At 46.8% G+C, this 26,602-nt stretch overlaps 1 protein-coding gene across 4 annotated transcripts, besides 6 other annotated features; it reads left to right on the top strand.

Annotated features, from left to right (window-relative positions):
• The first annotated feature begins 561 nt into the window (after window positions 1-561).
• DUSP14 (dual specificity phosphatase 14) lies at window positions 562-25,494 on the top strand. Of its 4 annotated transcripts, none has more exons than XM_011524234.2 (3): window positions 562-951; window positions 22,673-22,760; window positions 24,177-25,494. In XM_011524234.2, the coding sequence occupies exon 3, from the start codon at window positions 24,269-24,271 to the stop codon at window positions 24,863-24,865; it is 597 nt and encodes a 198-aa protein (XP_011522536.1). In that variant the 5' UTR covers window positions 562-951; window positions 22,673-22,760; window positions 24,177-24,268; the 3' UTR covers window positions 24,866-25,494. The 4 variants fall into 4 exon arrangements, with proteins under 4 accessions (XP_011522536.1, XP_047291173.1, NP_008957.1 ...); XM_047435217.1 differs by lacking the exon at window positions 562-951 and adding an exon at window positions 1,166-1,630; NM_007026.4 differs by lacking the exon at window positions 562-951 and adding an exon at window positions 1,887-1,954.
• Window positions 2,987-3,772: an enhancer, noted in NCBI's record as "H3K27ac hESC enhancer chr17:35851097-35851882 (GRCh37/hg19 assembly coordinates)". NCBI's record gives its function as "activates a minimal SCP1, AML or CMV promoter by ChIP-STARR-seq in naive H9 embryonic stem cells {active_cell/tissue: H9 hESC(naive)}" and the evidence as "EXISTENCE:reporter gene assay evidence [ECO:0000049][PMID:30033119]".
• Window positions 19,008-19,508: an enhancer, noted in NCBI's record as "H3K27ac hESC enhancer chr17:35867118-35867618 (GRCh37/hg19 assembly coordinates)". NCBI's record gives its function as "activates a minimal SCP1, AML or CMV promoter by ChIP-STARR-seq in primed H9 embryonic stem cells {active_cell/tissue: H9 hESC(primed)}" and the evidence as "EXISTENCE:reporter gene assay evidence [ECO:0000049][PMID:30033119]".
• Window positions 19,509-20,009: an enhancer, noted in NCBI's record as "H3K27ac hESC enhancer chr17:35867619-35868119 (GRCh37/hg19 assembly coordinates)". NCBI's record gives its function as "activates a minimal SCP1, AML or CMV promoter by ChIP-STARR-seq in primed H9 embryonic stem cells {active_cell/tissue: H9 hESC(primed)}" and the evidence as "EXISTENCE:reporter gene assay evidence [ECO:0000049][PMID:30033119]".
• Window positions 24,504-24,894: a silencer, noted in NCBI's record as "fragment chr17:35872610-35873000 (GRCh37/hg19 assembly coordinates)". NCBI's record gives its function as "represses an EF-1alpha promoter that drives an FKBP-Casp9 reporter gene in an ReSE screen in HepG2 liver carcinoma cells {active_cell/tissue: HepG2}" and the evidence as "EXISTENCE:reporter gene assay evidence [ECO:0000049][PMID:32094911]".
• Window positions 24,504-25,166: a biological region, named in NCBI's record as "H3K27ac-H3K4me1 hESC enhancer GRCh37_chr17:35872759-35873272".
• Window positions 24,653-25,166: an enhancer, noted in NCBI's record as "H3K27ac-H3K4me1 hESC enhancer chr17:35872759-35873272 (GRCh37/hg19 assembly coordinates)". NCBI's record gives its function as "activates a minimal SCP1, AML or CMV promoter by ChIP-STARR-seq in naive H9 embryonic stem cells {active_cell/tissue: H9 hESC(naive)}" and the evidence as "EXISTENCE:reporter gene assay evidence [ECO:0000049][PMID:30033119]".
• Window positions 25,495-26,602: the final 1,108 nt, after the last annotated feature.

The following is a 26,602-nucleotide window of genomic DNA, read 5'->3' on the forward strand; positions in this document are numbered from 1 at the left end:
TTCTACTGGACAGTGCTGGTCCAGAAGAGAATAACTTCAAATTGCATTTTTGGTACAGGCATGTATAAGCCCGCACTTCCACATTCTGTAAAGGCATAAACCGCCTCCCTACCCCAGGGCATGTCTGTACAGTCATTAAATGGTCTGACTCCAGCACTTCTTTCTACTTAATCTCTAAATCTCTAAATCTTGACACGCACATCGCACACAACACAAACTCTATTTTAGCCCACCTCCCTCTTCACTGACTCTTCATGGTAGGTTTAGTTCCCATAATCCATGAAAATGCCTAGCTCCTTGTCACTAGAGCTTGTTTTGGAAACCTGCCTACAGTGTAACAAGCTGGAATGTGAAGAGGGATGCATCTATTTGTGTTGCTGAGTCATTGAATTGACTGAAGCTTCAAGGACTAGGGGGTGCTGAGCAGAAATGAAAACACACAATCCTTTCTGTTAGAGATTTGCTCTTTTCGTATTGGCATGTAAACAAGTAAGTCACTAAGTGAACTGACGTCACAATTTAGTTTTAGGAAGATGCTTTTCCCAGGCACGATTTGAACTCAGTGGTTTCCTGAATCTAGCAAAGTATGCTGCTTTGTTTTCTCTTAGATTAATTTTGCCTAATTTTAAAGCTTTGATTCTCTTTTTACGAAGACGAAAATAAATCTCTCTAGTCTGGGCCTTTTTCGTTTCCCAGGATTATGATTAAAATTATCACTAACTTTTAGATAGTCCAGCACGCACCGGATGACTCTGAAGCCGGTTGGGCAGTGGAGATCGGGAAGAACATGAAAAAGCTTCAAAGCTTTTGGTTGAGGACATCGGGAGATGTAAACCCCAAACGCGGGTTTTACTTCTCCCCTCCACCCCTCCCCGCAAACCCATGCCTACTCGTTTTGACTGCTCAGCAATTCTGAGGCCAACCATTTGCAACGGCGAGGAGCAGGGGCTGGTGAGTCAAGGACTGGGCATGGAGTCAGGACTCTTAGGTGCCTTGACTCACGGCAGAGCCTTGAGGAAGTCGCTTTGCCTCCCACGTGTCTCCCTTCACCTGCCAGAGGCGGAGGGGAGGCGGGGCTGTGCTGGAAAACGTCCGTTTCGCACCGACTTATGTTACAGATGGGCAGACCTGAATTTTAAAAGACCCTCAGAGTCACACAGCAAATGAGCCCTCAAATGCCCGTGTCCCGCCTGCGCTCCGGAGAACCCCTGCCCTGCCTCGGGGACTCGGGAGGTGGGTGTGGGCTCCGAGACTCGGACGGCACCTTGGCGTGGCGAGAGCAGGTGGAGATGCGCACGGAGGTTGCATGTTCACCTCCGGGTCTCGGGCGCCACGGCTGCCCGTACCTGTTCCAGCAAGCGTCAGCCAGGAACTGCCGCGCTACTGATTTTCCCTTCGCTCTTGGGTCCCAACCCCCGGGCTCTCCGGGCTAGGGAGGCGGTGGGGTGGGGTCGAGGCCGTCCCGAGCCACCCGCGGCGGCTTCACACCTGTATCGGATTTGCTTTCTCGCCTTTAATCCTCTCCAATCCCGAAAGCACCCCAGCAGAGCGCCCCCGCAGCCCGCCTCGAGCCCGGCTCATACGCAGACGCTGACTGGGGAAGCGAGGGGTCGCCGGTGTGTGAGGCAGGGTAAGAGACCAGGGGACCTGCACGGAGGAGCGCTCTAGGGGAGGCTGCTGCCTCGGGAGCTAGGGCGCGCCCGGACCACACCGCACGGCGCAGAAGCCCAGCGCGCACGCGCGCCGCCTGCCGCCCCGCGCGTCCCCCCGCCCCGCGTCGCGTCCCCCCACCTCGGGAGAGGGCGGCCAGGCGCAGGGAGCGTGCGCGCGGCCCGCCCCGGGCGCGGGCGGAGGGAGGAGGAGGCGGCGCGCGCGGCGCCCAGCCCGCAGAAGCCGGTGGCCGCGCAGGAGGACGGAGCCCTAACCGCAACCCGCTCCGCGCCGCGCCGCGCCGGTAGGGGACCCGCAGGCCCGGGGGTGGGGGTTGTGGGGAAGGTGTTGGGGTGGGGCGGGAGGGCGGGACTTCGCGCTTCGGGTCCCTGGGCGCAGGGGGACCCAGAGGCCCGCGCGACCCCGCCTCTGGAAACTTTGTGCCGGCGCCCCCACCTGCTCCCTGGCGGTCCTTGACTCTTCGGGGCGGCCCGCGGAGGAGAGGCCCGAGACCTTCCGCAGCGCACCCTCGCCGGCCCTGAGCGTGCGCCCCCTGCCGCTCCCCCGCCGCGCCGCGCCGCCCCCGCGACCCTGTCCCTGTGCCCCGGGGCTCCAGCAGCCTCGGCCGCGCCTCCTCCGTCGCCTTCCGACCCCGCTGAGGCCGCCTACTCTCGCTGGCATCCACCCGCTCTGGAGCGCGCCGCCGCTTTTTGCATCTCCCCGAGGTTTCTGGTGCATGGATAGAAGCAACTTGACTTTCAGCGATGCCAAGTGTCCAACTTGAGTCTTTCTCTGCGGTGGTAGATGGGTGTGCGCGGTGCTAACATCTGTCTTTTTATTTCTCCTAAGTACCCTTGCTCCGGAGCGAAGTTGAGTTGTTGTTTGTAAAGAGGGGGTGCGTGCTGTGGCCGCCTTAAGTGGATTGTATAACTGTATTTTATTTAGGTGGATGTTGCCAGTGGTACCAGCCAGTGTTATGGTAACTGGGCATCCCAGAGGCTAGGGAAGGAGGAGCGACTTACAAATGCAGTTTTACCATGCAGAGATTTTTTTTTTTTAAAACCACCTTGTACTTTCTATCCAGCAGGACCTCCGGACATTTAGTGTGTGTTAACTCGTTAGCTGTTCATTATCGTTTTATAAGAGAGGGGGGTGGAGAGCGTTACCATCCCGTTTTACAGATGTAAAAACGGAGGCGAAGAGCAAACTCCGGGTATCCTTAGTAACCTTAAAAGAATAGGGACCAAGAGATTTAACCCAGAGTCTCCTGGAATTCCTAGTCCCTAAGGCCACTCAGAAGTATGATGGAATGTTGGACCGTCCTCCCTGACATTCTACAGATCACTTAAGAGTCAGAGAGGCCGAGGCCAGCCGGCAGCTCCATGCCTGAGACTCAGCTCTGCCACAAAGTTAAGTAACACTGGACAAGTCACAGTTTCTCTCCGCTCATTTCCTTCCTGCTCTCTAAAACCAGGGGAACAAAGGTGCTGTATTCTTTGCAGAGTTGTGCGTGTGTCTGGAAGCTCCACTCCCTTGAGCTGCGATTTGGTTATTGTTAGTTGTTGTGGACTCATAAAGGCCCCCAGTCTTGGTTCCCTTGAGAAATGCAGGGAAGGAGGCACCCCCACAGTGAACGCCTCTTCTTCGCCAGAGACGCCTGAGAATTCACATCAGGGACACTTCACATCAGGGACAGGCCGGGGCAGAGACCCTGACCTGAGGGAGGGACGAGGGTTGCCACGAGGAGGTAGGAAGGAGCCCTGCACAGGAGGCTTGACACATGGGCCCTATTCCTGCCTCCAGCTCTGACTCATCTTCTGACGCTTGGGGGAGGAGAGGTAGTTGCTTGGTATTTTTGGCTTTCCACCATAAAACTGGAGACAGTTTCCTTCATTCCAAGTCGTTTTAATGTCACTGTTGAACGTGTGTGTCCTGAGTTCTCATCTGAAAGCTTTCATATCGGTTGACTGCAGGTATGAATTCTGTAATAATAATTAATAGAATGGCATAAATGTATATTCATATCATAAAAGACTAGCCAAGTATGTAAGTCCAGGAAATCCTTTAATACTTTAACATTTTTAAAAAGTGGGCTTTAGGGAGGGCTATGTTTGATGGGTTCCTTTGCAATTGGGATTTTAAGGCAAAATGGATTAAAAATGCTTTTCCCAAAATCACAAGAAATACATTAACCATTCTCTGTGAGATTTAAACTTTACTAATAAGGTTAAAGCTTTCTTTTGAACCTCTTCCTCAAAAGTAACTGCCGAGTGCATCTTGATCGGTTTGTGTATATCTTTTTAGACTTTTCTAAGCATTTTTATAAATGTCCGTTTGCACAAAGTGGTTTTTTAACCGAAATTAATTATTTTAAAGTTGACTTGTCCTGTTTATAAAGATTTGGCTTCTGTCAAGAACAAGTAATGTGTTTAAGTACAACTGTTGGTAAAGTTTTAATAATCCTGATAGACGGTGTTACTTCCCAGGGCAAGGGGCAAATTACCCCTTTTAAACAACTTCAAAGTAGTAGAATCATTACGATCCTAGGTTTTACTCTTAGGTGCTGAATAAAACTTTCCTATTTAAAAAAAAAATCTAGGACTACTAGCCTATTGTCTTGTCTTTGCTTATAAAGAAACGTCAAAGGGAGTGGAAGACAGGGAGAGTTGCTAAAGCAACCAAGGCCTGGGTATAAACTTACAGAGCTAACATTTAAGATGGCTTTATTATTTATGAAAGCTTCACTTCACCTGGGTGAAGACAAAGGAAAGTGTTAATGTGGGCACCCTTCAAACCGGTAATTTCAGGAAATGGATGGGTTAAAACAAAATTCATGTCAGGATTCTGTGGATTTATATATTATACATTTACCGAGGACTTTTACCATGCTAAAGGTGCTGTGCCTGAATACAGAGGAAGAAGGCAAGTAAGGTCGGTCTCTGACCTTATGAAGCTGACAGGCAAATAGTGACATTCAGAGAGAGTTGGCCAGAATTGTTGTCATGGTTCTGAATTCCCAGAAATCAACATTAGATTTATTGAATTGTGAATTATGTAAAAAAGTGTCTAAAACAAATGGATAATTTGATGGATTATTTTAACGAAAACATAAGTGTAACTGTCTTGCAGGTCAAGAATCTGACTCCACACTCTCTCCCTCCCCCAGAGGTCCTAGCCAGAAACTACCCTGACTTTTATGGAAATCATTTCCTTCTTTTCTATAGTTTTTATCCCCTAAATATAAATCCCTAATTGACATAGTTTTATTTTGCTTGTTTTTAACCTCAGTGCAAACTAAAAGTAGATACTCTTGTGAATCCTTCCTTCTGGCCGGCATCGTGTGTGTGTGTGTGTATGTGTATGTATGTGTGTGTGTATGTATGTATATACACACGCACATATATAATTTTTTAAATTTCTGCAGCATGCTATTTTAAAAGATTTATCCATATCGTTGCCTATGCCTGTAGTTTTTGTGTTTTAATTTTTTTAGAGACAAGGTCTCACTATATTGCCCAGGCTGGTCTTGAACTCCTGGGCTCAAGGGATCCTCCTGCCTGGGCCTCCCAAAGTGCTGGGATTACAGGTGTGAGCCACCACACCCAGCCCAGTTAGTACATTTTTGTCTTATGAACATACCACAAATTACCTTTCCACTGTTGATGGACATCTGGGTTGTTTCTGGTCTGGGGCAATTATGAACAGCCCTGAGTCAGGTGTGCATACCTTCAGCTTTACTAGTTGATACCTGGTTTCCAAAGTGGTTGTACCAATTTACATTCCTTCAGTGGTGTCAGCCTTGAGTTTGTAAGTCACTGTATTTGCTGTTTAACCACAATTATGCTTGAATATTTTCTGAATGAATGAATAAAGGTCCCTGGGTAGTCCGATCCCTGGCCTGTCATGTGCTAGCGTATTTTTATTTAGTTATATGGTTTGGACTAACCACCCAAATACCAGAAATGGTTTTCCCACTGTGTTTGGTTGACAAATATCTAATGGAATCCTTTCATCAATCTTTTTTTTTTTTTTTTGGAACAGATGAGTAGTTACAGGAAATTTTAAATATGCAAAATGAAGTACTAAAAATAAGTGGCTAGTACCTAGATGTTTTTTAAGGCTCTTGAATGAATCCTGCCTCTGGTGAATGCTTCCATTGTGCCCAGCCCTAAATGTGTAGGACAGTGTAGTGTGCAGGAACCCAGGCCTATCCTTGTTAAAGTACCCTCTGAGGATGAGACTCCTTAAGAGGCACTGTGCACAGACCCTAACTCATACTTCTTGGCAATTCCAAAGTAACCACAGACTCTGTGCTACAGGAATCAATGACTCTTTTAAACTTTTTTTTTTTTTTTTTGAGACAGAGTCTCACTCTGTCGCCCAGGCTGGAGTGCAGTGGCGCGATCTCGGCTCACTGCAAGCTCCGCCTCCCAGGTTCATGCCATTCTCCTGCCTCAGCCTCCCTAGTAGCTGGGACCACAGGTGCCCGTCACCATGCCCGGCTAATTTTTTGTATTTTTAGTAGAGACGGGGTTTCACCATGTTAGTCAGAATGGTCTTAATCTCCTGACCTCGTGATCCGCCCGCCTCGGCCTCCCAAAATGCTGGGATTACAGGCGTGAGCCACCGCACCCAGCCTTTAAATCTTTTAAATGTATTTTTCTCCAAATTTTCCTTTGCCTGAGAAAGTAGAAGTAGCTTAGAGCAGAGTTTTTGTCGTTTTTGTTCATTTTCTTTGTAAGAGATGGAGTCTAGCAGTGTGGCTCAGGCTGGCCTTGAACTGCTGGGCTCAAGGGATCCTCCCACCTCAGCCTCCTAAAAGCTGGGACTGCAGCATGTGCCACATCCAGCTTGAATTCCTGCTTTGTGAACAGACAGTTACCAGGCTCACTTTGATTGCCCGTGTTTAGTTTTGCCAGCTGGATTTGAAGTGTGTGTGTGAGAGAGAGTGAGAGAATGTGAGAAAGAGAAGGAGCAGGAGGGAGGGTGTGGGGAGAGGTGGGCAGTTCACCTGAGGGCAGCCGTTAAATTCAGGTGTTCATTGAGTACTTACCATGTGCCTAGTATTATGTGCTGTGTTTCTGCCCTTAGAGCAGAATGTTACGCAATTCTGTAGGTTTACAAAATACCTCAGGGGAATCCTTTTTAGCTGGAGGGATGATGGAAGAACACTAGCACAAAGACTGAGATTTGTAGATCCTTTTTATTTCTTCTCTAAAGCATCTTGGAAAATAGCTAAATCACTCTATTTTCAGTCTTTATTTACATAAGTCACAAAGACTTTTTTGCTCATTATAGTAAAGATTTTTTTTCAGATTCTCTAAAATAATGATAATTTTAGAAACCACATGCGGATAAATTAGAAGTTTTCAGGAAAAGACACCCAAAGGAGGAGGAGTAAGAAGTCGTTAGTATGAGAACCTGTTGATCTGAGTGATGGGGGAGGAGCCCTGTCGTGTTCTTTGTCACCCCTTCGGCCTTCCAGCGGGCAGCTTTCACAAAGGAGCTCCATTTTCCACCTGTTGCAGGGCAGGGGCAGCCTCAGCCTGGGCGAGGGAGGAGGCCTAGGGCTGAGATCACAGCCATGCCCTTTCATGTGCAGCCCACCCAGCTCACCTGGGCACGTCCCATTCTGTTCTTGCACCAACCTAGAGCAACCAGAGGTCCGGTTGGGTCAGCTTTTCACACCCCATGCCATGTTGAAACCTCAGTGGACGAGAAGGTTCTTTTGAAGTTCATATGCAACTGCTGGGTTTACTTCTGTCTTTGTCCCAGAACAGTTTCAGCATCAATGACCTAGGGCAAGTTTTTTTGTTTGTTTGTTTGTTTGTTTTGACTCCTATGTCTTTGAGTGTGTGGGTACATATGAGAAAACTCCCTAACTAGAGCATGCTGCTTCTGTTGACTAGTAAACATTATGTGGCAGAGAGCGCCTTCAAAGCACCAGCCTTCCCTGCCTGGGAAAGTGACCAGTAGGTGAACTTGCTTTAAGTTTTGTTTTTTTTGTTTTTTTGTTTTTTTTTTGAGACGGAGTCTTGCTCCATCACCAGGCTGGAGTGCAGTGGCGCGATCTCGGCTCACTGCAACCTCCGCTTCCCAGGTTCAAGCAATTCTCCTGCCTCAGCCTCCCGAGTAGCTGGGATTACAGGCGCATGCCACCACGCCCAGCTAATTTTTCTATTTTTAGTAGAGACAGGGTTTCACCATGTTGGTCAGGCTGGTCTCGATCTCATGACCTCGTGATCCACCTGCCTCGGACCCCCAAAGTGCTGGGATTACAGGCATGAGCCACCGCGCCCAGCCTGCTTTAAGTTTTAAGGAAGCACTTGTAAAAATAAAATCTGGAAGTACTGTCAACATACAAATTACATACAAATTTGGAGATTTATAATGAAGAATTTTGCCAATTTAGCTAAAATCTAAATCTTAGATTTAACTAAATCTTTTAAATCTTTGTGTTTCATTATAAAACACAAAACATTTATAATGAAGACACACTTCATGTCATCATTATAAATCTTTGGTGTTATCCTGGCTCCTATATAAAGAGCACTGGCAGGCTCAGGCCAGAAGTGGAGAGGGGGCTTGGACCGACAACTATGTGTTGTTAATTTTCTTCTATTAAAAATATTTTTTACTTTTAGAAATTGAAATCATATAGAAAATTATGCTGGGCACAGTGGCTCACGCCTATAATCCCAGCACTTTGGGAGGCTGAGGCAGGTGGATCACTTGAGGTCAAAAGTTCAATCGAGACTAGCCTGACCAACATGGTGAAACCCCATCTCTTATAAAAATGTAAAAATTAGCCGGGTGTTAGGCCGGGCACGGTAGCTCATGCCTGTAATCCCAGCACTTTGGGAGGCTGAGGCGGGTGGATCATGAGGTCCGGAGTTCGAAACCAGCCTGACCAACATAGTGAAACCCCGTCTCTACTGAAAATACAAAAATTAGCCGGGAGTGGTCGTGGGCCCCTGTAATCCCAGCTACTCCAGAGGCTGAGACAGAGAATTGCTTGAACCTGGGAGGCGGAGGTTCAAGTGAGCCAAGATCATACCACTGCAATCCAGCTTGAGTGAAAGAGCGAGATTCCATCTCAAACAAACAAAAAATTAGCCGGGTGTGGTGGCATGCACCTGTAATCTCAGCTACTTGGGAGACTGAGGCAGGAGAATTGCTTGAACCCAGGACGAGGCAGTTGCAGTGAGCAGAGATTGAGCCACTGCACTCCAGCCTGGGCAACAGAGTAAGACTCTGTCTCAAAAAAAAAAAAAAAAAAAGAAAAGAAAATTATTGAAAGCAAATTAACCAGCATCATAACTCACCATTCAAAAATCATTGCTCATACTTTATCTTTTATAATGCTTAGAAATTAAGTATTATCAAGTCAGAGCTTCCTTGGGCCATTTCTCTTCCCTTCCCACTGAGACAACCACTCCCATGAATTTGGTACATTTCCTTCCAACTCTATTTAAATATCAATTTTACTTCAAACTGCATTTTTTTTTTTTAAAGACAGAGTCTCTTCCCCAGGCTGGAGTTCAGTGGCACAATCTCAGCTCACTGCAACCTCCGCCCTCCAGGTTCAAGTGATTCTCTTACCTCAGCCTCCTGAGTAGCTGGGATTACGGGCACATGCCACCATGCCCAGCTAATTTTTGTATTTTTAATAGAGATGGGGTTTCACTGTGTTGGCCAGGCTGGTCAAACCCCTGACCTCAAGTGATCCACCTGCCTTGGCCTCCCAGAGTGCTGGGATTACAGGCATGCGCTACCGCGCCCTGCCTTCAAACTGCTTTTTTGATGAATGTCAAAAGGACATAGAGGCCTGGTGTGGTGGCTCATGCCTGTAATCCCAGCACTTTGGGAGGCCTAGGGAGGTGGATGGCTTGAGCCCAGGAGTTCGAGTCCAGCCTGGGCAACATGGCAAAACCCTGTCTCTACAAAAAACACAAATTAACCGGATGTGGTGGCTCATGGCTATCGTTACAGCTACTTGGGAAGCTGAGGTGGAAGGACTGCTTGAGCTCAGGAGGTCGAGGCTGCAGTAAGCCATGATTGTGCCACTGTGCTCCAGGATTCTTGCTCAAAAAAAAAAAAAAAGACAAGACAAGACTAAGCATGGTGGCCCATGCCTACAATCCCAGCACTTTGGGAAGCTGAGGCCAGCCAGAGTATCACTTGAGCCCGGGAATTCAAGGCCAGCCTGGGCAACGTGGCAAAACCCTGTCTCTACAAAAAATTAGCCAGGCATGGTGGCGCACCCCTGTAGCCCCAGCTACTCAGGAGGCAGAGGTGGGAGGATCGCTTGAGTCCCAGAGGTTGAGGCTGCAGTGAGCCTAGATTGCACCACTGCACTCCAGCCTGGGTGACAGAGCAAGACCCTGTCTCAAAAAAAAAAAAAAGGACAGAAATCTTTACTAGCCTTTATTTTGTACTGTCACATATGTTCTATGTTTAGGGGATGGAACTCTTAGAGCATTTCACATTTCACATGATATTTCTTTTTTTTCCTTTTTGTCACATGATGTTTCTTGTTAACAAAAATTGGAGAAGTATTTAGTGTTTTACAGAGCTTCAATTACTTGGTGTAAACTTTCAGCCAAAGGTGATCCAAAATGGAAATGGAGTAGAACTTGTTTTGTGTACTAGATTGTATCTTTTTTTTTTTTTTTTTTTTTTTTTTTTTTGAGACAGAGTCTCGCTCTGTCGCCCAGGCTGGAGTGCAGTGGCGCAGTCTCTGCTCACTGCAAGCTCCGCCTCCCCGGTTCACGCCATTCTCCTGCCTCAGCCTCCCCAGTAGCTGGGACTACAGGTGCCCGCCACCACACCTGGCTAATTTTTTGTATTTTTAGTAGAGACGGGGTTTCACCGTGTTAGCCAGGATGGTCTCGATCTCCTGACCTCGTGATCCACCTGCCTCGGCCTCCCAAAGTGCTGGGATTACAGGCGTGAGCCACCGCACCCGGCCTAGATTGTATCTTAAATCCAAATGACTACTGTATTATATGAAAGTAATCAGTTTTTTTTTTTTTTACAAAAATTACACTTACGGAGTTTCTTATTCCATTTATCCTCCTAGAAAGTACAGGAGATATTTTTTCCACAATATCAGATTACTCTTAATAATATTTTTAGATTCCTTCTAAAAAGGTACTTACTAGAAATGTGAATTCCCAGGCCTTCACTTCCAGAAATTCTGATTAATTAGGTCTGGGGTGGGGTCTAGGAGTCTGCATTCTAACAGGCAGCCCAGGTGATTCTCGTGTAGGACTCCTTGGGAGCACACTTTGAAGAATGCGTCTACTATGCTGTGATGGTTTTATAACTTACTAATTTCAACCAAGGATTGGTGTAGTAGCCCATTCTCACGCTGCTATGAAGAACTGCCTGAGACTGGGTAATTTATAAAGGAAAGAGGTTTAATTGACTCGCTGTTCCACATTGCTGGGGAGGCCTCAGGAAACTTACAGTCAGTGCAGGCAGGGGAAATGCCAGACGCTTATAAAACCATCAGGTCTCATGCAACTCACTCAAAATCACCAGAACAGCATGGGGGAAACCGCCCCCACCTGGTCCTGCCCTTGACACGTGGGGATTATGGGAATTACAATTCAAGGTGAGATTTGAGTGGGGACACAGAGCCTAACCATATCAGTTGGCAAACTTTCTTTTTTTTATTTTTTAAATTTTTTTATTTTAAGAGATGGGGTCTCACTGTTTGGCTCAGTCTGGAGTACAGTGGCATGATCCTGGCTCACTGCAGCCTCGAACTCCTGGGCTCAAGCAATCCTCCTGCCTTGGCCTCCCAAAGTACTGGGATTACAGGTGTGAGCCACCACACCCGACCCTCTAGAAGTGTTTTTGTTTGTTTGTTTGTTTTTTGTTTTTTGAGACAGAGTTTCGCTCTTTCACGCAGGCTGGAGTGAACTGGCGCGATCTCGGCTCACTGCAACCTCCATCCCCCCGGGTTCAAGCGATTCTCCTGCCTCAGCCTCCCGAGTAGCTGGGATTATAGGTGCCCACCACCACACCTGGCTAATTTTTATATTTTTAGTAGAGACGGGGTTTCACCATGTTGGCCGGGCTGGTCTCAAACTCCTGACCTCAGGTGATCCACTCACCTCGGCCTCCCAAAGTGCTAGGATTACAGGCGTGAGCCACCATGCCCAGCCTAGAAATGTTTTACTAATTAGTAATGTAGTCTTCTAAAGGGAACTATTACATTGTCATATTGTGTTTCCAGACAGTATTTTTTCAGTTAAAGCCAAGGGAATAACTTCAGGATCCTCTGCCTTGGGACCCCTCTCGTTCAGCTGAAAACTTCATCCCTCCCTTTGCTGTAGGATGGCACAGACACCCAGTTGCCCTCACAGTGCAGTCGGACTGCTCTCAGCATGGGAGCGGGCATGGCCTTCGCCAGTTGCCTCCATCCCGCTGAAGCAGAAGACTCAGCTGTTTACCTCACCCTGCTCGGAAACTCTAGCGTGGTAATTATAGGTGCCTTTGATTTGTAAAGAAAAATGGGAAATTAATTTATTAGTACATTATAAGTGAAGTTAATTTGGTATAAAATCACTAAAAGATGTGGAATTGGGCCAGGTATATGGTAAGGAAGTCCTCATAGGGTGAAGGTTGAAACTCTCCGCTGGAGCTTTAAGGATTTTGATATGTCTGATGAGACATCAAAGATGATCAAAGGGTGATTATTAACTACTGAGCTGTTAGTCCTGTGAACTTTATTCTAATTTATAAATTCTGTTCTTTATCTTCCCTTAAAGTAGTAATGAGCTTGTAAGGACTGAAATCTTATTTATGAAAAGACCTGCATTTTCTGAGATGTCATGGTCTTGCTTCTCAGAGGGCAGTAGTAACTTTGACAGTTTTGAGGCAAACTCACACCTACCTGGGTTTTATTGCTGATTAGTGATTTTTTTAAGCACTTTGCCTCTAGATGTTCTGAGTTACATAAATAACAGTTTATCATTTAACCAAGCACATATGATTCACATTTAATTTTTACCACTTAGTCCTGGAAGACTTTAAAATGTTATTTATATAAGCCATTGCTCAAATTGGTTTCCAGTTATCATTAAACAAGTTTAAATACAGCTGTGGACTTTTGCGAGCTTTTTATTGGATATTTCACACCCGAAGACCATCTTGTACCACCAACAGTTTAGGATTCTTAGAGATTACTCCCTAGACTGTAGACGTAAAGCACAATCACATCGACCTGACCTTATGTTCCTTAACTCCTTTCTTGCTGCAGTTTCCCGCCCCCTCCCCGCCCCAGCCAGTGAAATGTACATTTTGGTAGACTTTGAATGGATGGATCCATTGTGGTCCAATTGTATGACTGAGCCACAAATAGACAACTCATGGAAGGACGGTTCTGGTCCCAGTGGGGCTACTAATTTTCAATGTAGAGTCTGGGAAAGCTTCTTAACCTCCATTTACCTCTGATTCTCTGGGAACTGCAACAGCAGAATGATACTGATCCGGGAGAGGCTGAGCAGTGCTTACGTGGCTTATGTGGGACAGATGCCCGAACGTGCTGCCACAGGTCAGATGGGGCAGAATGAGGCAGATTTTCACATTGTATTAAGTTAGTTTTTAATGAGTTTAATCTTCAGTTTGCACTTTTCAAAAACTGTGTATACAGATCACCTGGGATCTTGTTAACCTGCTGGAGCCGATTCGGTAGGTCTTGGAATAGAGCCTGCGTTCTGCATTTCTTTCAAGCCTCCAGGTGGTATTGATGCTGCTGGGGCTTGGATCACACTTGCTAAATGGTGAGGGCTGTAGAAAAGGGCTGTATTCTCCATTCCAATGGAGAATAGCCCCCATTCCAAGTCTAAAACAGGAGGCTCTTTTTTTTTTAGATGGAGTTTCTCATCACCCAGGCTGGAGTGCAATGGAGCAATCTCGGCTCACTGCAACCTCCACCTCCTGGGTTCAAGTGATTCTCCTGCCTCAGCCTCCCAAGTAGCTGGGATTACAGGCGCCCACCACCACGCCTGGCTAATTTTCGTATTTTTTAGTAGAGACAGGGTTTTACCATGTTGGCCAGGCTGGTCATGAACTCCTGACCTCAGGCAATCTGCCTGCCTCGGCCTTCCAAAGTGCTGGGATTATAGGCATGAGCCACCGTGCCTGGCCAAGGGGGCTCTTGAAAGGCAAGAATGGGAGGAGAAAAAGCATGGTATACAATCTATAAAACAACTCCCCAAGAAACAACTCAGGTTTTCAGTACTATGGGCTGTTTTTACTTTGCTTTGATCACCAGTTTTTTTGTACCAGTTGTTTCGTTCACTCAATGGTAGTCCATCTCTTACTGTTATTCAGTTGTTTTTATATGTGTATCTTGTGTCATTTCTGTTAGATGATAAAATCCTAGCACAGGGTTATGCCTTATGTTACCTGTATATCCCTGCTCTAGTTACTACTGCTGCATAACACAGCTCTAAAACTCGTTGTAAAATAACTATTTGTTTTGTTTGCTTATCAAACAAAACTTGTTTACAAGTCCCTGTTTTTTTTTTAAGACAGAGACTTGCTCTGTTCCCCAGGCTGGAGTGCAGTGGTGCAATCACAGCTCCCTGCCCCTTTGACCTTCTGGACTCAAGCAATCCTTCTGCCTCTGCCTGCCATGTAGCTGGGACCACAGGTGCACATCACCATGCCCAGCAATTTTTTTTTTTTTTTTTGTAGAGAGAGAGTCTTCTCACATTGCTTCAGTTGGTCTTGAACTCCTGGGCTCAAGCAGTCCTTCCACTTCGGCCTCCTAAAGTGCTGGAATTACAGGCCTGAGCCACTGCCCCTGGCCTAAAATGACTATTTGTATTGTACTCACAGATTCCTGTAGGTCAGGAATTTGGACCTCACTAGTAGGGGCAACTTGCTTTTGCTTCACAATGTCCGAGGCCTTAGGTAGGAGATTCAAAGCCTGGGGGTGACTTGATGGCTGGGAGCTATAATCATAATAAAGTATCTCTACTTACATATCTAGTGGTTGAGCTTGGGTATCAGCTGGGACTCAGTTGGGATGTTAGCTAAACACCCATGGCCTCTCCGTGTGGTAGCTCTGTTGAGCTAGTTTGGGCTTCCTCACAGCATGGCAGCTGGGTTCCAAGGGCAAGTCCTAAGAGAACAAGGTAGCAGTGTGCGACATGTTTGTGCTCTGGCCTCGGAAGCATCATTTCTACTGTATTTTTTTGTTTGTTTGTTGCTTTAAAGACAGCGTCGTTCTGTCGCCTAGGTTGGAGTGCAGTGGCGCCATCGTAGCCCCCTACAACCTTGAACTCCTGAGCTGAAGCGGTCGTCCTGCCTCAGCCTCCCAAAGTGCTGGGATTACAAGCATGAGCTCCACGCCCAGCCTTTAGTGTATTCTTTTGGTTGAAGCCATCACAAAGGTTTCTCAGGGTTCAAATGAGGGGACATCAGCCCCACTGTTGGATGGGAGGAGTGTCAAGATTACACTGTAGGGTCTGGCCACAGTGGCTTATGCCTGTAATCCCAGCACTTTGGGAGGCCGAGGTAGGTAGATTGCTTGAGCCCAGGAGTTTGAGACCAGCGTGGGCAACATGGGGAAACCCTGTCTCTATAAAAAATACAAACATTAGCTAGCCATGGTGGCGCACACCTGTGGTTCCAGCAACGTGAGGAGGCTGAGGTGGGAGGATCACTTGAACCTGGGAGGCGGAAGTGGCAGTGAGCCAAAATCATACCACTGCACTCCAGCCTGGGCTACAGAGGGAGACCCTGTGTCAAAAACAAAACAAAAAACAAGGTTACATTGTAAGAATGTCATGTGAGATGGGAGATGCTGTGGCCATCTCTGGTGAATACATTCTGCAGCAGTTGGAACAACACTCAGCAGGGTGTTGACCGCATTATATAAACTCAGTGAAAGACTGTTGTGTAAATGAGTGGTAGGTAATTTAAGCACCAAGGTGGGTGAGGACCAAATACAAGAATTCAATTCCAGATGTGAACAGATTACCCCATGGTACCAAGATAAATGCAGACCTTCCACCTTTTATAGTTATTGATAGTCTCTTCTTGCTATCTCTACTCTTTCTGTTTCCAACATGGAGAATCTGTGAATTGATCACGTGGAACTGAACTTCTTCAAATCTTTGCATTTGTGTCACGATGCTGGCATGGTTTTTCCTGCTTATCTAGTGTACTGCCCCTCTCCTTCTTGGGCTGTGGCATATCCCAGCAGCTGGCTAGTATCTTACAGTGATGGGGCTGGGCGTGGTGGCCCATGCCTGTAATCCCAGCAGCACTTTGAGAGGCCAAGGTGGGCAGATCACCTGAGGTCAGGAGTTTGAGACCAGCCTGGCCAACATGGTGAAACCCTGTCTCTACTAAAAATACAAAAATTAGCCAGGTGTGGTGGTGTATGCCTGTAATCCCAGCTACTCGGGAGGCTGAGGCAGGAGAATCACTTGAACCCGGGAGGTGGAGGTTGCGGTGAGCCGAGATCTCATCACTGCACTCCAGCCTGAGTGACAGAGCAAGACACCATCTCAAACAAAAACAAAAACCAATGATCGGCTTCTCTTAGCCTCAGCAAATGCAGTGTGAACAGGCGCTGGTCCATCTGCGGACATCGAGATGGCTGGCCTGGTCACACCTACATAGGCAGCTGCTCTGTGGCTGCATGTCACACTGAGGGACTATCTGTGGCTGAACCGGAGTGTGACTCTCAGTCTTTGGCTTTATGTATCTTATGTGTATTTATCCTCATCATATCCTCATCGTGTACATATCCTCATGTATTATCCTATGATATCAGTTAATTAATACAGTGAGAAAAGCAAAAACGATCCCTCCTCCAAAGTAAGTAGAAGATGTTGAGATGTTTTACCACAATTGCTAAAGCTTTCCAGGTGACAGAACAATTTGTGAATATCTTTTACTTCATTTTACTTTAATATGTATATATGAGACAGGGTCACCCTGGCTGGAGTGCTACAATCATGGCTCACTGCAGCCTCGACTTCCCAGACTCAAGTGACCTCCTCATCTCGGCCTCCTGAGTAGCTGGGATTATAGGCGCATGAAACCATGCCCGGCTAATTTTTAAAATTTTTTTTGCAGAGACAGGGTCTCATTACGTTGCCCCGGCTGGTCTTAAACTCTTGGGTTTAAGGAGTCCTCCTGCCGCAGCCTCCCAAAATGCTGTGATTACAGTTGTGAGCCACTGTGCCTGGCTGAAATTTTACTTTTTTGTTTTTATATTTTGCGACAGAGTCTTGCTCTGTTAACCAGGCTGGAGTGCAATGGCACGATCTTGGCTCACTGCAGCCTCCGCCTCCCGGGTTCAAGCGATTCTAGTGCCTCAGCCTCCCAGGTAGCTGGGATTCCAGGTGCACACCACTATGCCTGGCTGATTTTTGTATTTTTAGTAGAGACAGGGTTTCACCATGTTGGCTTAGCTGTTTTTTGAGTTTTGGGGTAGAAATGGGGTTTCACCATGTTGCCCAGGCTGGTCACCAACTCCTGAGCTAAAGTGATACAACCACCTTGGCCTCCCAAAGTGCTAGGATTATCATTTTCATTACTAAATCAGAAATGTGGGCCGGACCTGGTGGCTCACCCCTGTAATCCCAAGATCTCTTGAGCCTGGGAGATCAAGGCTATAGTGACCTAAGATTGTGCCACTGTACTCTAGCCTGGGCAACAGAGTGAGACTCGGTCTCAAAACAAAAAGAACTAGACAGACATTTACTTTATTAGAAGGAGAAAATGTGATTACAAAAGCTTTTTGAATATAAAAAGGTAACAGTGTAGGCCTCTCCAGTATATACTCTGGCCCTCTGAAATTCCTAAAACTGAAAGTATTTTAGTGAGAGCATTTTACACAGTCATCTGAAGCACTGTTGTGGCCATTTTCTGCTGTTGACTGAACATGAAAAGAAAAGCCGTAGATAGAATTTCAGTTAACTGCTGATTCTGGTGGTTGTCATCTTTTTTTTTTTTTTTTTTTTTTAAAGAAAAGTAACCTCCGTGGCATTAGGATGGATGCTGTCTCTGATTAGGCCATGACCCCATGTAGCAATTCTGAGTGTCAGGTACCACTGCTCCAGGTATGGATGCCAGTGCTGACCACAAGGCTACAAGGCTGATGCCCGCATCCCAGGAGCTCTGTGGAGCAGGGAGCAATCAGGTGTTATTAATATTAGTGTATGCATTACTGAGATTAGAGGCCCGCTGGGAAGACACTAATCTTGTATTTTGTTCAGTACTTAGTGTTCGATGCTTATTATCCAAAAAGACCAGCATCGTCTCTGAGAAGATGTTAAGAACAAACCAGACTGGGCTCAGTGGTTCAAGCCTGTAATCCCAGCACTTTGGGAGGCTAAGGCAGGTGGATCACCTGAGGTCAGGAGTTCAAGACCAGTCTGAGCAACATGGCAAAACTCTGTTTCTACTAAAAAATACAAAAAATTAGCTGGGCATGGTGGCATGCACCTGTAATCCCAGCTACTCGGGAGGCTGAGGCAGGAGGGTCATTTGAACCCAGGAGGCGGAGGTTGCAGTGAGCCGAGATAGCGCCATTGCACTCTAGTCTGGGTGACAGAGAGAGACTCCATCTCCCCCCCGCCCCCGTCCCCCTGCAAAAAAGAAAACAAAAAAACCCAAAAAACCCTGGGGTTGGTTTAGGACAGCTCTTCCTTTCTGTCTTTCACTCTACCCTACCCCCATCCCCCAAGCCAGGAAAATATTTTTTCCTCCAAGAAGCACGTGCCATTGCCAGAGCATCTTGGGAAGGCCAAGTTGAACACCATAGACAGTGATGTGGTCATTCTTAAGCATTCTTCCTGGTCATCATCGTCCCAGAGACCATTGTCCTGCAGTGGGATGGCATGTTCACTCAGAGAGCACCATGCAATTTGTGATCCCTCAAATACGGGTCAAACTCTGCTACCCTATCTCCTTTCCCTGTCTCCCAGGACACATTTACTGAGTAGATTTTCATGCACCTGTGATATAATACCCATGGGTTTTTTATTTTTTACCATCCAGTTCTACTGATCTGATCTGAGAACTGGCTGACTCTAGGGCTTCTTGTAGTGCCTACTCTGGGGCTGCTCCTTGCTGAGGTCCACCCTCTGCAGCCAGGGGGATGTTTTGTGCACCAAATGGTGTACCAGGATGTGGCAGTAGTTCCCTGTTCTGGCACTAGGGGAAACTGGAGCAGCTCGGCCCATCTGGGCTTAGCCTTTCTGTAAGTAGCACTGAAACACCTTCTTAGGCAGATCCACACCCCCCCGCGTGTGTGGCAGACGCTGGCTGGTGGTGTGGAGCGCCGCGAGGCAGGTGATGAGAACACAGCCACGATTTAGTCACCGCAGAGAAGCAGTGTGTGGACTTGAGCTAGAAATCCGGACACCTTCCATCTTTTCCTAGTTTCACTTCTCAAGTTGAAATCTCTCACCCTTTCTGAACCATGTATTTTCCAATCTGTCAAGGGGGTCAGGAGTGTTTGTCAGAGAAGCATCTATAGCATCTGTGCCCTCTACGTGCCCTCTGGCGGAAGTTGTTTTCCTGAAACTTTGGACCAGCTTTGGCATTTTAAGCAGGTTTGTTGGCAAAGAGATGGACTGGCAGCAGCAGGGAGGGAGCAATGTGTCTGTCTCACTTGGATTCTGCCCCGAGGGCTCACAATCTGTTTTCCCTGCAGCACCAAGTACCCTAGCGCCACTCAGCAAATGCGAGTTAACGGAATCAGCCCGGCTTCTACAGGGAACCTGGGCTCCTTTGCCTCAGGAAGGCAAGTGGCTTCCCAGACAGCGTAATTTGGGAGGATGCATCGCTCTGCCACCCAGGCTGGAGTGCAATGGCGCGATCTCAGCTCACTGCAGCCTCTTCCTCCCGGGTTCAAGCGATTCTCTTGGCTCAGCCTCCCTACTAGCTGGGATTATAGGCATGCACCACTGCACCTGGCTAATTTTTGTATTTTTAGTAGAGACGGGGTTTCACCATGTTGCCCAGGCTGGTCTCAGGTGATCTGCCCGCCTCGGCCTCCCAAAGTGCTGGGATTATAGGCGTAAGCCACCGTGTCTATGGCCAAGCCTCTCTGAATTAGACAACAACTAGATAACCTACTTGGAAATTTGATTAGCATCTTCCAGATTTTCCACAATGAGGAGCGTCATCCCCAGCAGCTTGAAGGCCTAATTTTGTGTTTATTACCACAGTGACTTTGCTTTTTAAACCAGTAGGATTCTGCCAGGGAAGACTTGGAAGTGGCAGGAGACCCTGCTCTGCTGTAGGAAAGGATGTTCTCAGAGTTTCTGCCCTGTTCATAGTTTACATCCAATGCACACACACGCAGTTTCCTTATGTGACTGCGTCCTTGTTCCTCCTCATGCTGTGATTTCACCTGTGGACTGCTCTGTGTACTCCCATAGCATTAACCAGTCATGGGATGTGGGCTCCCAAAGCGAGGCCTAGCCTCGAGTGAGGAGGCAGCTCCCTTCAGAGAAGGGCAGTGTCCAGGAGGGACTTGTGGTCTGTTAGCACCAGTACACCTGGTGCCTCAGTCTTCCAGGGGGAATGCAGACAGAGCCACAGCACTCACCTCTGCAGCAGTTCTCAGACGTGCCCCCGACCCGCAGCCTCACCTCAGAAAGGCAACTCTTCCAGCCCCACTCTGGAGGGACGGAATCAGAAGCTGGGGAAAGGTCCAGCAGTCTGTGCGCACAGCCCTCTGGGGGATTCTGAGGCATGCTCAGGTTTGAGAGCCCCTGCATTATAATGATAGAAATAGTTGTAAATGGAGCCAGGCACAGTGGCTCATGCCTGTAATCCCAGCACCTTGGGAGGCCAAGGTGGGTGGATCACTTGAGGTCAGGAGTTTGAGACCAGCCTGGCCAATGTGGCAAAACTCCGTCTCTACTTAAAGTACAAAAAATAGCAACGTGTGGTGGTGCACGCCTGTAATCCCAGCTACTCAGGAGGCTGAGGCAGGAGAATCTCTTGAACCTGGGAGGTGGAGGTTGCAGTGAGCTGAGATTGCGCCACTGCACTCCAGCCTGGGTGACAGAGCCAGACTCCATCTCAATATATATATATATATATGTATGTATAAATAAATATATATGTATATTTATAAACTTTTTTTTTCAAAAACCATTTTAAAATGTTAAACATACGTGTCATAGGACCCAGCCCTTCACTCCTGGGTATTGAACTGAGAGAGGAAGGCATATGTACGCACAAAGACCTGTACGTGGATGCTCATAGCAGCTGTACTCACAATACCTTTAAACTAGAGACAACCCAGGTTCATCAGTAGGTGAATGGATAAACAGAGTGTGGTGTATCTACACAGCAGAGTACTTAAGAAGTGAGCTGTTGATAACCCAGCGTCATGGGTGAATGTCTAAGTTATGCAGAGTGAAAGAAGCCAGACCAAAAAAAAAAAAAACCCATATATATATATATATATATATATACACACACACACACACACACACACACACACACACACACACTCTATATATATATGTACTATGTATATGTGTACTATATATGTATATATACACTATATATACACACTATATACACACTATATATATATATATATATATATATATATATATATATATATATATATATATATAGTGTGTGTGTGTGTGTGTGTGTGTGTGTTTAGTTTTTGAGACAGAGTCTTGCTCTGTTGCCCAGGCTGGAGTGCAGTGGTGCAATTTCGGCTCCACTGCAACCTCCACCTCCTCCTGGGTTCTAGTGATTCTCCTGCCTCAGCCACCCAAGTAGCTGGGATTACAGGTGTGTGCCATCATGCCCGGATAATTTTGGTATTTTTAGTAGAGACCTGGGTTTCTCCACATTGGCAAGGCTGGTCTCGAACTCCTGGCCTCAAGTGATCCACCCGCCTCGGCCTCCCAAAGTGTTGGGATTACAGGCGTGATCCACCACGCTTGGCCTATATATATTTATATGCTATAAATATATAAAAGTCCATTGATAGAAAAGTCTAGAGTGCAAACCATAGTGATAAGAAAGATCAGTGGTTGCCTGGGAATGGGGTAAAGAGCAAGAAAGGGTTGGATTATTAAAAAAAATGAGGAAATTTTGAGGGGGATGATGGATGTGTTTATTATTATGATGTACTGGTGTCTCCATTGTGTACATATGTCAGAACTCATCAGGTAATGTACCTGATCAAGTTGTATAGCAGTTTATATGTCAAGAACACCTCAACAGAGCTGTAAAAAAAACACGACAGGTCTGACAGTTACCTGGGAAAGGTGGGGGAACAGGTGGTAGAAGAACACATTTTTTATGATGTTCATGGTACTTACATAACATAAATGAATAAAATAGGGCCAACATGGAAAAGAAAACAAAATGAAGGAAAATGTCAAATTGCCATCCTGAACACCAGCACCGCCTGTAATTAGCGTTCCTGGCTGCAGCCACATCTGCGGTCCTGCTCCTCATGAAGCCGTCCTCCGTGCCATGTCCCGGCCATGCCTGTCCTTAGCTTCCTGGTGCACACTGTCCTCCACCTTGTGTTCAGGCACAGGGCTGCTTGGCTCACCCTTGCTGCACCTGGCCTGTCCGTCCTCCCACCGCGGTGCCGCCCAGGCCTTCCCACTGCAGGGCTGGCTAACGGTGCATGGAAGAGACTCGAGTCCGTGTTGTGTCCTCATAGCCCACCGAGGAGGCAGCAGTGCCGGACATTTCGCGGATAGGTTGTGGTCTCTGAGTCTCCTCCTCTCAAGAGGATGAGATTTGTCTGTGTTATTGTCAAAACTCTTATTTGTCACGCCGCGGGTTATGTGTCAGTAACAAAAAGCTGAGATTTAGGCCGGTGTTTCTTACTGGTGCAGCCTTTAAATGCACACCTGCGAATGTTCAGTGCACCTTCCGCTTCCTGGCTCTATTTCAGTCAAACCTGAGGTCGTAGTGAAAGTCGGTGAGGAATTCTTTGGAACTTCCTGATTGGCTGTGTCCTTGCCTCCTTGTCTTCCCGCAGATTTGATTTGTATCCACTGTCACCAGCACTGCTCACTTAGGACTTTCTGGATCCGGACCCAGGCAGCGCACACTGGACTCTTGAGGAAGTGAGTACCCCACCACTGCCTGCCTGTTGAACCCGGGGAGGCTCTTGTCTGACTGAAATCACTGCAGGCTTCCCGACGATCCCCTGGGTGTGTGTGGGCAGGCGCACTTGCCACTGGGCACAGGTGATAAAGCATTGTGATTTTTTTTTTTGGTGAGAGGAACGGATGTATCTAAGATCTCAGGAAACTGAGAACTTCCTTTTCTGCTCTTATTAAATGTCAATATATATATAATATATATCAATATATATGTAAATGTATATATTGACATTTAATAGCAAACACTGGAATAATGAGAGGATAGTGACGTTCAGACGTTAAAAGCCAGTGGGCTTCATCGTGGAGCTCAGAATTAAGGTGAAGTTATTTAGCCACACCCAAGGTCAGGTCAGGTAAAATGCTCATTTAACTTACAGGAATGAACTTTGAAGACCATGGCCTTCAAATTGCCTGGGATTATTTCCATGGAAATGCTACTGTGTTTACATTGTCACGAAATGATAGGAAATAGTTTTTGGTTTGGGTTTTTGTTTTTGTTTTGAGACAGAGTCTGTCACCCAGGCTGGAGTATAGTGGCACGATCTCAGCTAGTTGCAACCTCCGCCTCCCAGGTTCAAGCGTGTCTCTTGCCTCAGCCTCCCGAGTAGCTGGGATTACAGGTGCTCGCCACCATGCTCAGCTAATTTTTGTATTTTTAGTAGAGACAGGGTTTCCCAATGTTGGCCAGGCTGGTCTCGAACTCCTGACCTCAGGTGATCCACCCGCCTCAGCCTCCCAAAGTACTGGGATTACAGGCATGAGCTACCTCACCTGGCCTTTCCTTTTTTTTTTTTTTTTTTAGAAGCTGGGTCTCCCTGTTGCCCAGGTTGCAGTGTGGTGGTGGTGCAATCACAGCTCACTGCAGCCTCGACCTCCCAGGCTCAAGTGATCTGCCCACCTCAGTCTCCTGAGTAGCTGGGACTACAGGCATGCACTACCACACCCAGCTAATTAAAAAAAAATAAAAAATAAAAAATAAAAAGTTTTTTTGTAGAGATGGGGTCTCACTGTGTTGCCCAGGCTGGTCTTCTGGTCTTGAACTCCTGGGCTTAAGCAATCCTCCCACCTCAGCCTCCCAAAGTGCTGGGATTACATGTATGAGCCACCATGCCCAGCCACCCCCCCCCCACCCCACTTTTTTTTTTTTTTTTTTGGACAATCACCAGAGAGCTGAATTTTACATTGATTTCACATGTTTGTGTCTTAGGTGACTTTTCCCAACTGTTAATTGATAGAAAATGATTTGTCTGTATCCTTGAAAGATTGTACTGTATTATTTAAAAAAAAACCCTCTAATCTTCCCATTTGACAAATGTGACAGAAGGCTGTGATGAATCAGTAGCATTTAAAGTACTGACACATACCTGTATTTTGCAGGAAGGAGACTCTAATTTTGGATTCCTTGGTGGAGGAAAATAAAACACTCTGGTCTTGCCGCCAACGATGCAAGTGTGACTGCTGGCGTCTTCATGAGCTCCAGAGGTCACAGCACGCTACCAAGGACTCTCATGGCCCCTCGGATGATTTCCGAGGGAGACATAGGAGGCATTGCTCAAATCACCTCCTCTCTATTCCTGGGCAGAGGCAGTGTGGCCTCCAATCGGCACCTCCTCCAGGCTCGTGGCATCACCTGCATTGTTAATGCTACCATTGAGATCCCTAATTTCAACTGGCCCCAATTTGAGTATGTTAAAGTGCCTCTGGCTGACATGCCGCATGCCCCCATTGGACTGTACTTTGACACCGTGGCTGACAAGATCCACAGTGTGAGCAGGAAGCACGGGGCCACCTTGGTGCACTGTGCTGCAGGGGTGAGCCGCTCAGCCACGCTGTGTATCGCGTACCTGATGAAATTCCACAACGTGTGCCTGCTGGAGGCGTACAACTGGGTGAAAGCCCGGCGACCTGTCATCAGGCCCAACGTAGGCTTCTGGAGGCAACTGATAGACTACGAGCGCCAGCTCTTTGGGAAGTCGACAGTTAAAATGGTACAGACACCTTATGGCATAGTTCCCGACGTCTATGAGAAGGAGTCCCGACACCTGATGCCTTACTGGGGGATTTAGTGCCACTGAAGCCTGCGTCAGCAGCCCGAGCGGGGCCGGCATCTGCTCCCCGCCGTCTGCTCCCTCTCCACTCTCTTCTCAAATGGCTGACTTCTGGTTCTCCCTCAAGTGTTTTTTACACTGGGTGTTCAAATTTATTTTAAGAGATAGGGAGGGAGGGGACATAAAGGGAATGCATACATTGCTAGTCACATTTTTAAAATTAACATTTTGGAATAGTGTTTATGGAAATCTTTAGCTTTTAATCATTTTTACCAATTTGAACAGTTTAATAAACTGGTTCTGCTCTCTTCTGAATCTCATGCCTTTGGCACCTTGGTAGGTGCAGGAGGAGCTCAGTGCAAAAATCACTTTGGGGCCTCATTAACCCTTTAGAGACAAGCTTTGCCCCAGGCTGCGGACCAGACAGATGCTTAGGGAAGGTTGATAACCAGCTTCAGTCTCTACTGGATTAGCCCTACTCTTTCCTTTCCCCTCCATTATTTAGTGACTCTGTAAGTAAGTTAAATACACCCTTATTATTTAGCTGTTAAGTAACTATAATGAAATCTGCTGCAAAATCTCTCTTGGAATCCATGTGCCCAGGATTATATTAGCATTATTTTTAATAAATCTATATGCTTAACATATTAGAATTTTTACTAATAATTTCAAGGTGTGTGTGTGTCGATGATGGGAAAAAGGTGCTCTCCAGTAACTAACTAACTAACTGCTGAAATGTGGCTCCTGTGCCAGTTGGGAACATTACTTAAAATACACATCCCAGCAGAGTCTTGTCGGCGCGTCACATCCTGGTGGACAGGCAGACACACCGTCCCCGGTGCTGGGCCGGTGGGAGATGATTGATAGTGCACGCTCTGATCAGGGGTGCTGGTTTTGGTTTCCTCTTGGTTAGTGGAGCGCCCCGAAGCAGCGTGTCCTCCATCAGAGAAACTGGTTTTCAATAAAAGGTGCCTCTGCTTGACTATTATTACCACATACGAAAATGCCCTAAACCAAACCTCAGTATGAGCGATAAGCAAGTAACAAAAACAAACAATGGCTGCCTTTGTTTAACTTTGGGACTGTCTGTCACCCAGTTCACTGCTCCTGATAAAACGGGCAGCACCGCTCATCATCATCAGATACATGGTAGAAGGTGAATGAGCTCGCCCCTGTCCCACTCCTGGGACACTCCTGGGCACTTTCCACGTGCCCCCAAGTAACCACTGTCCTAGGGCATGCCTTTCTTCTGCATGGAGGGCATCCTGGGCGTCTGCCCGTGCAATGGGAACCCGCTGCGGCACTGCTCTTTGGCTTCATTTATCAGGAAGGTTGTAGCTTGCTCACCAGAGGAATAGTTTTCTAGATTTTTTGGGTCAGTTTTGGCAGGAAGCCATACATAGGCCAGTAGCTACATATTTAGACAAATATACTCCACATTTTACCTGGTTTGTGGCAATGGTTTTTTCCCATCTAAATTCTACCTTTTATTGCTTTATACCCGTGGCTGCCCACTGTTATAAACATGCATCATTATTCTCTAGAAAAACTAAAATGAAAAAAATTATTAATAGTTTCTATGGGAAATCAGAGGAAACAACAAATGCTATAAGATCAAAAAAAAAAAAAAAAAAAAAAAATCCAGGGAGGCTCTGGCTGCTTTAGTAGGAGGCTCAGCTTTGAGTCTGGGAGTTTCTGAATAAGAGCACCCAAATAACCATTGTCCTAGGGCGAGAAGACACCTGGTGACAGATG

Source organism: Homo sapiens, chromosome 17, assembly GCF_000001405.40.
Source record: "Homo sapiens chromosome 17, GRCh38.p14 Primary Assembly".
NCBI classification, from domain to species: domain Eukaryota; kingdom Metazoa; phylum Chordata; class Mammalia; order Primates; family Hominidae; genus Homo; species Homo sapiens.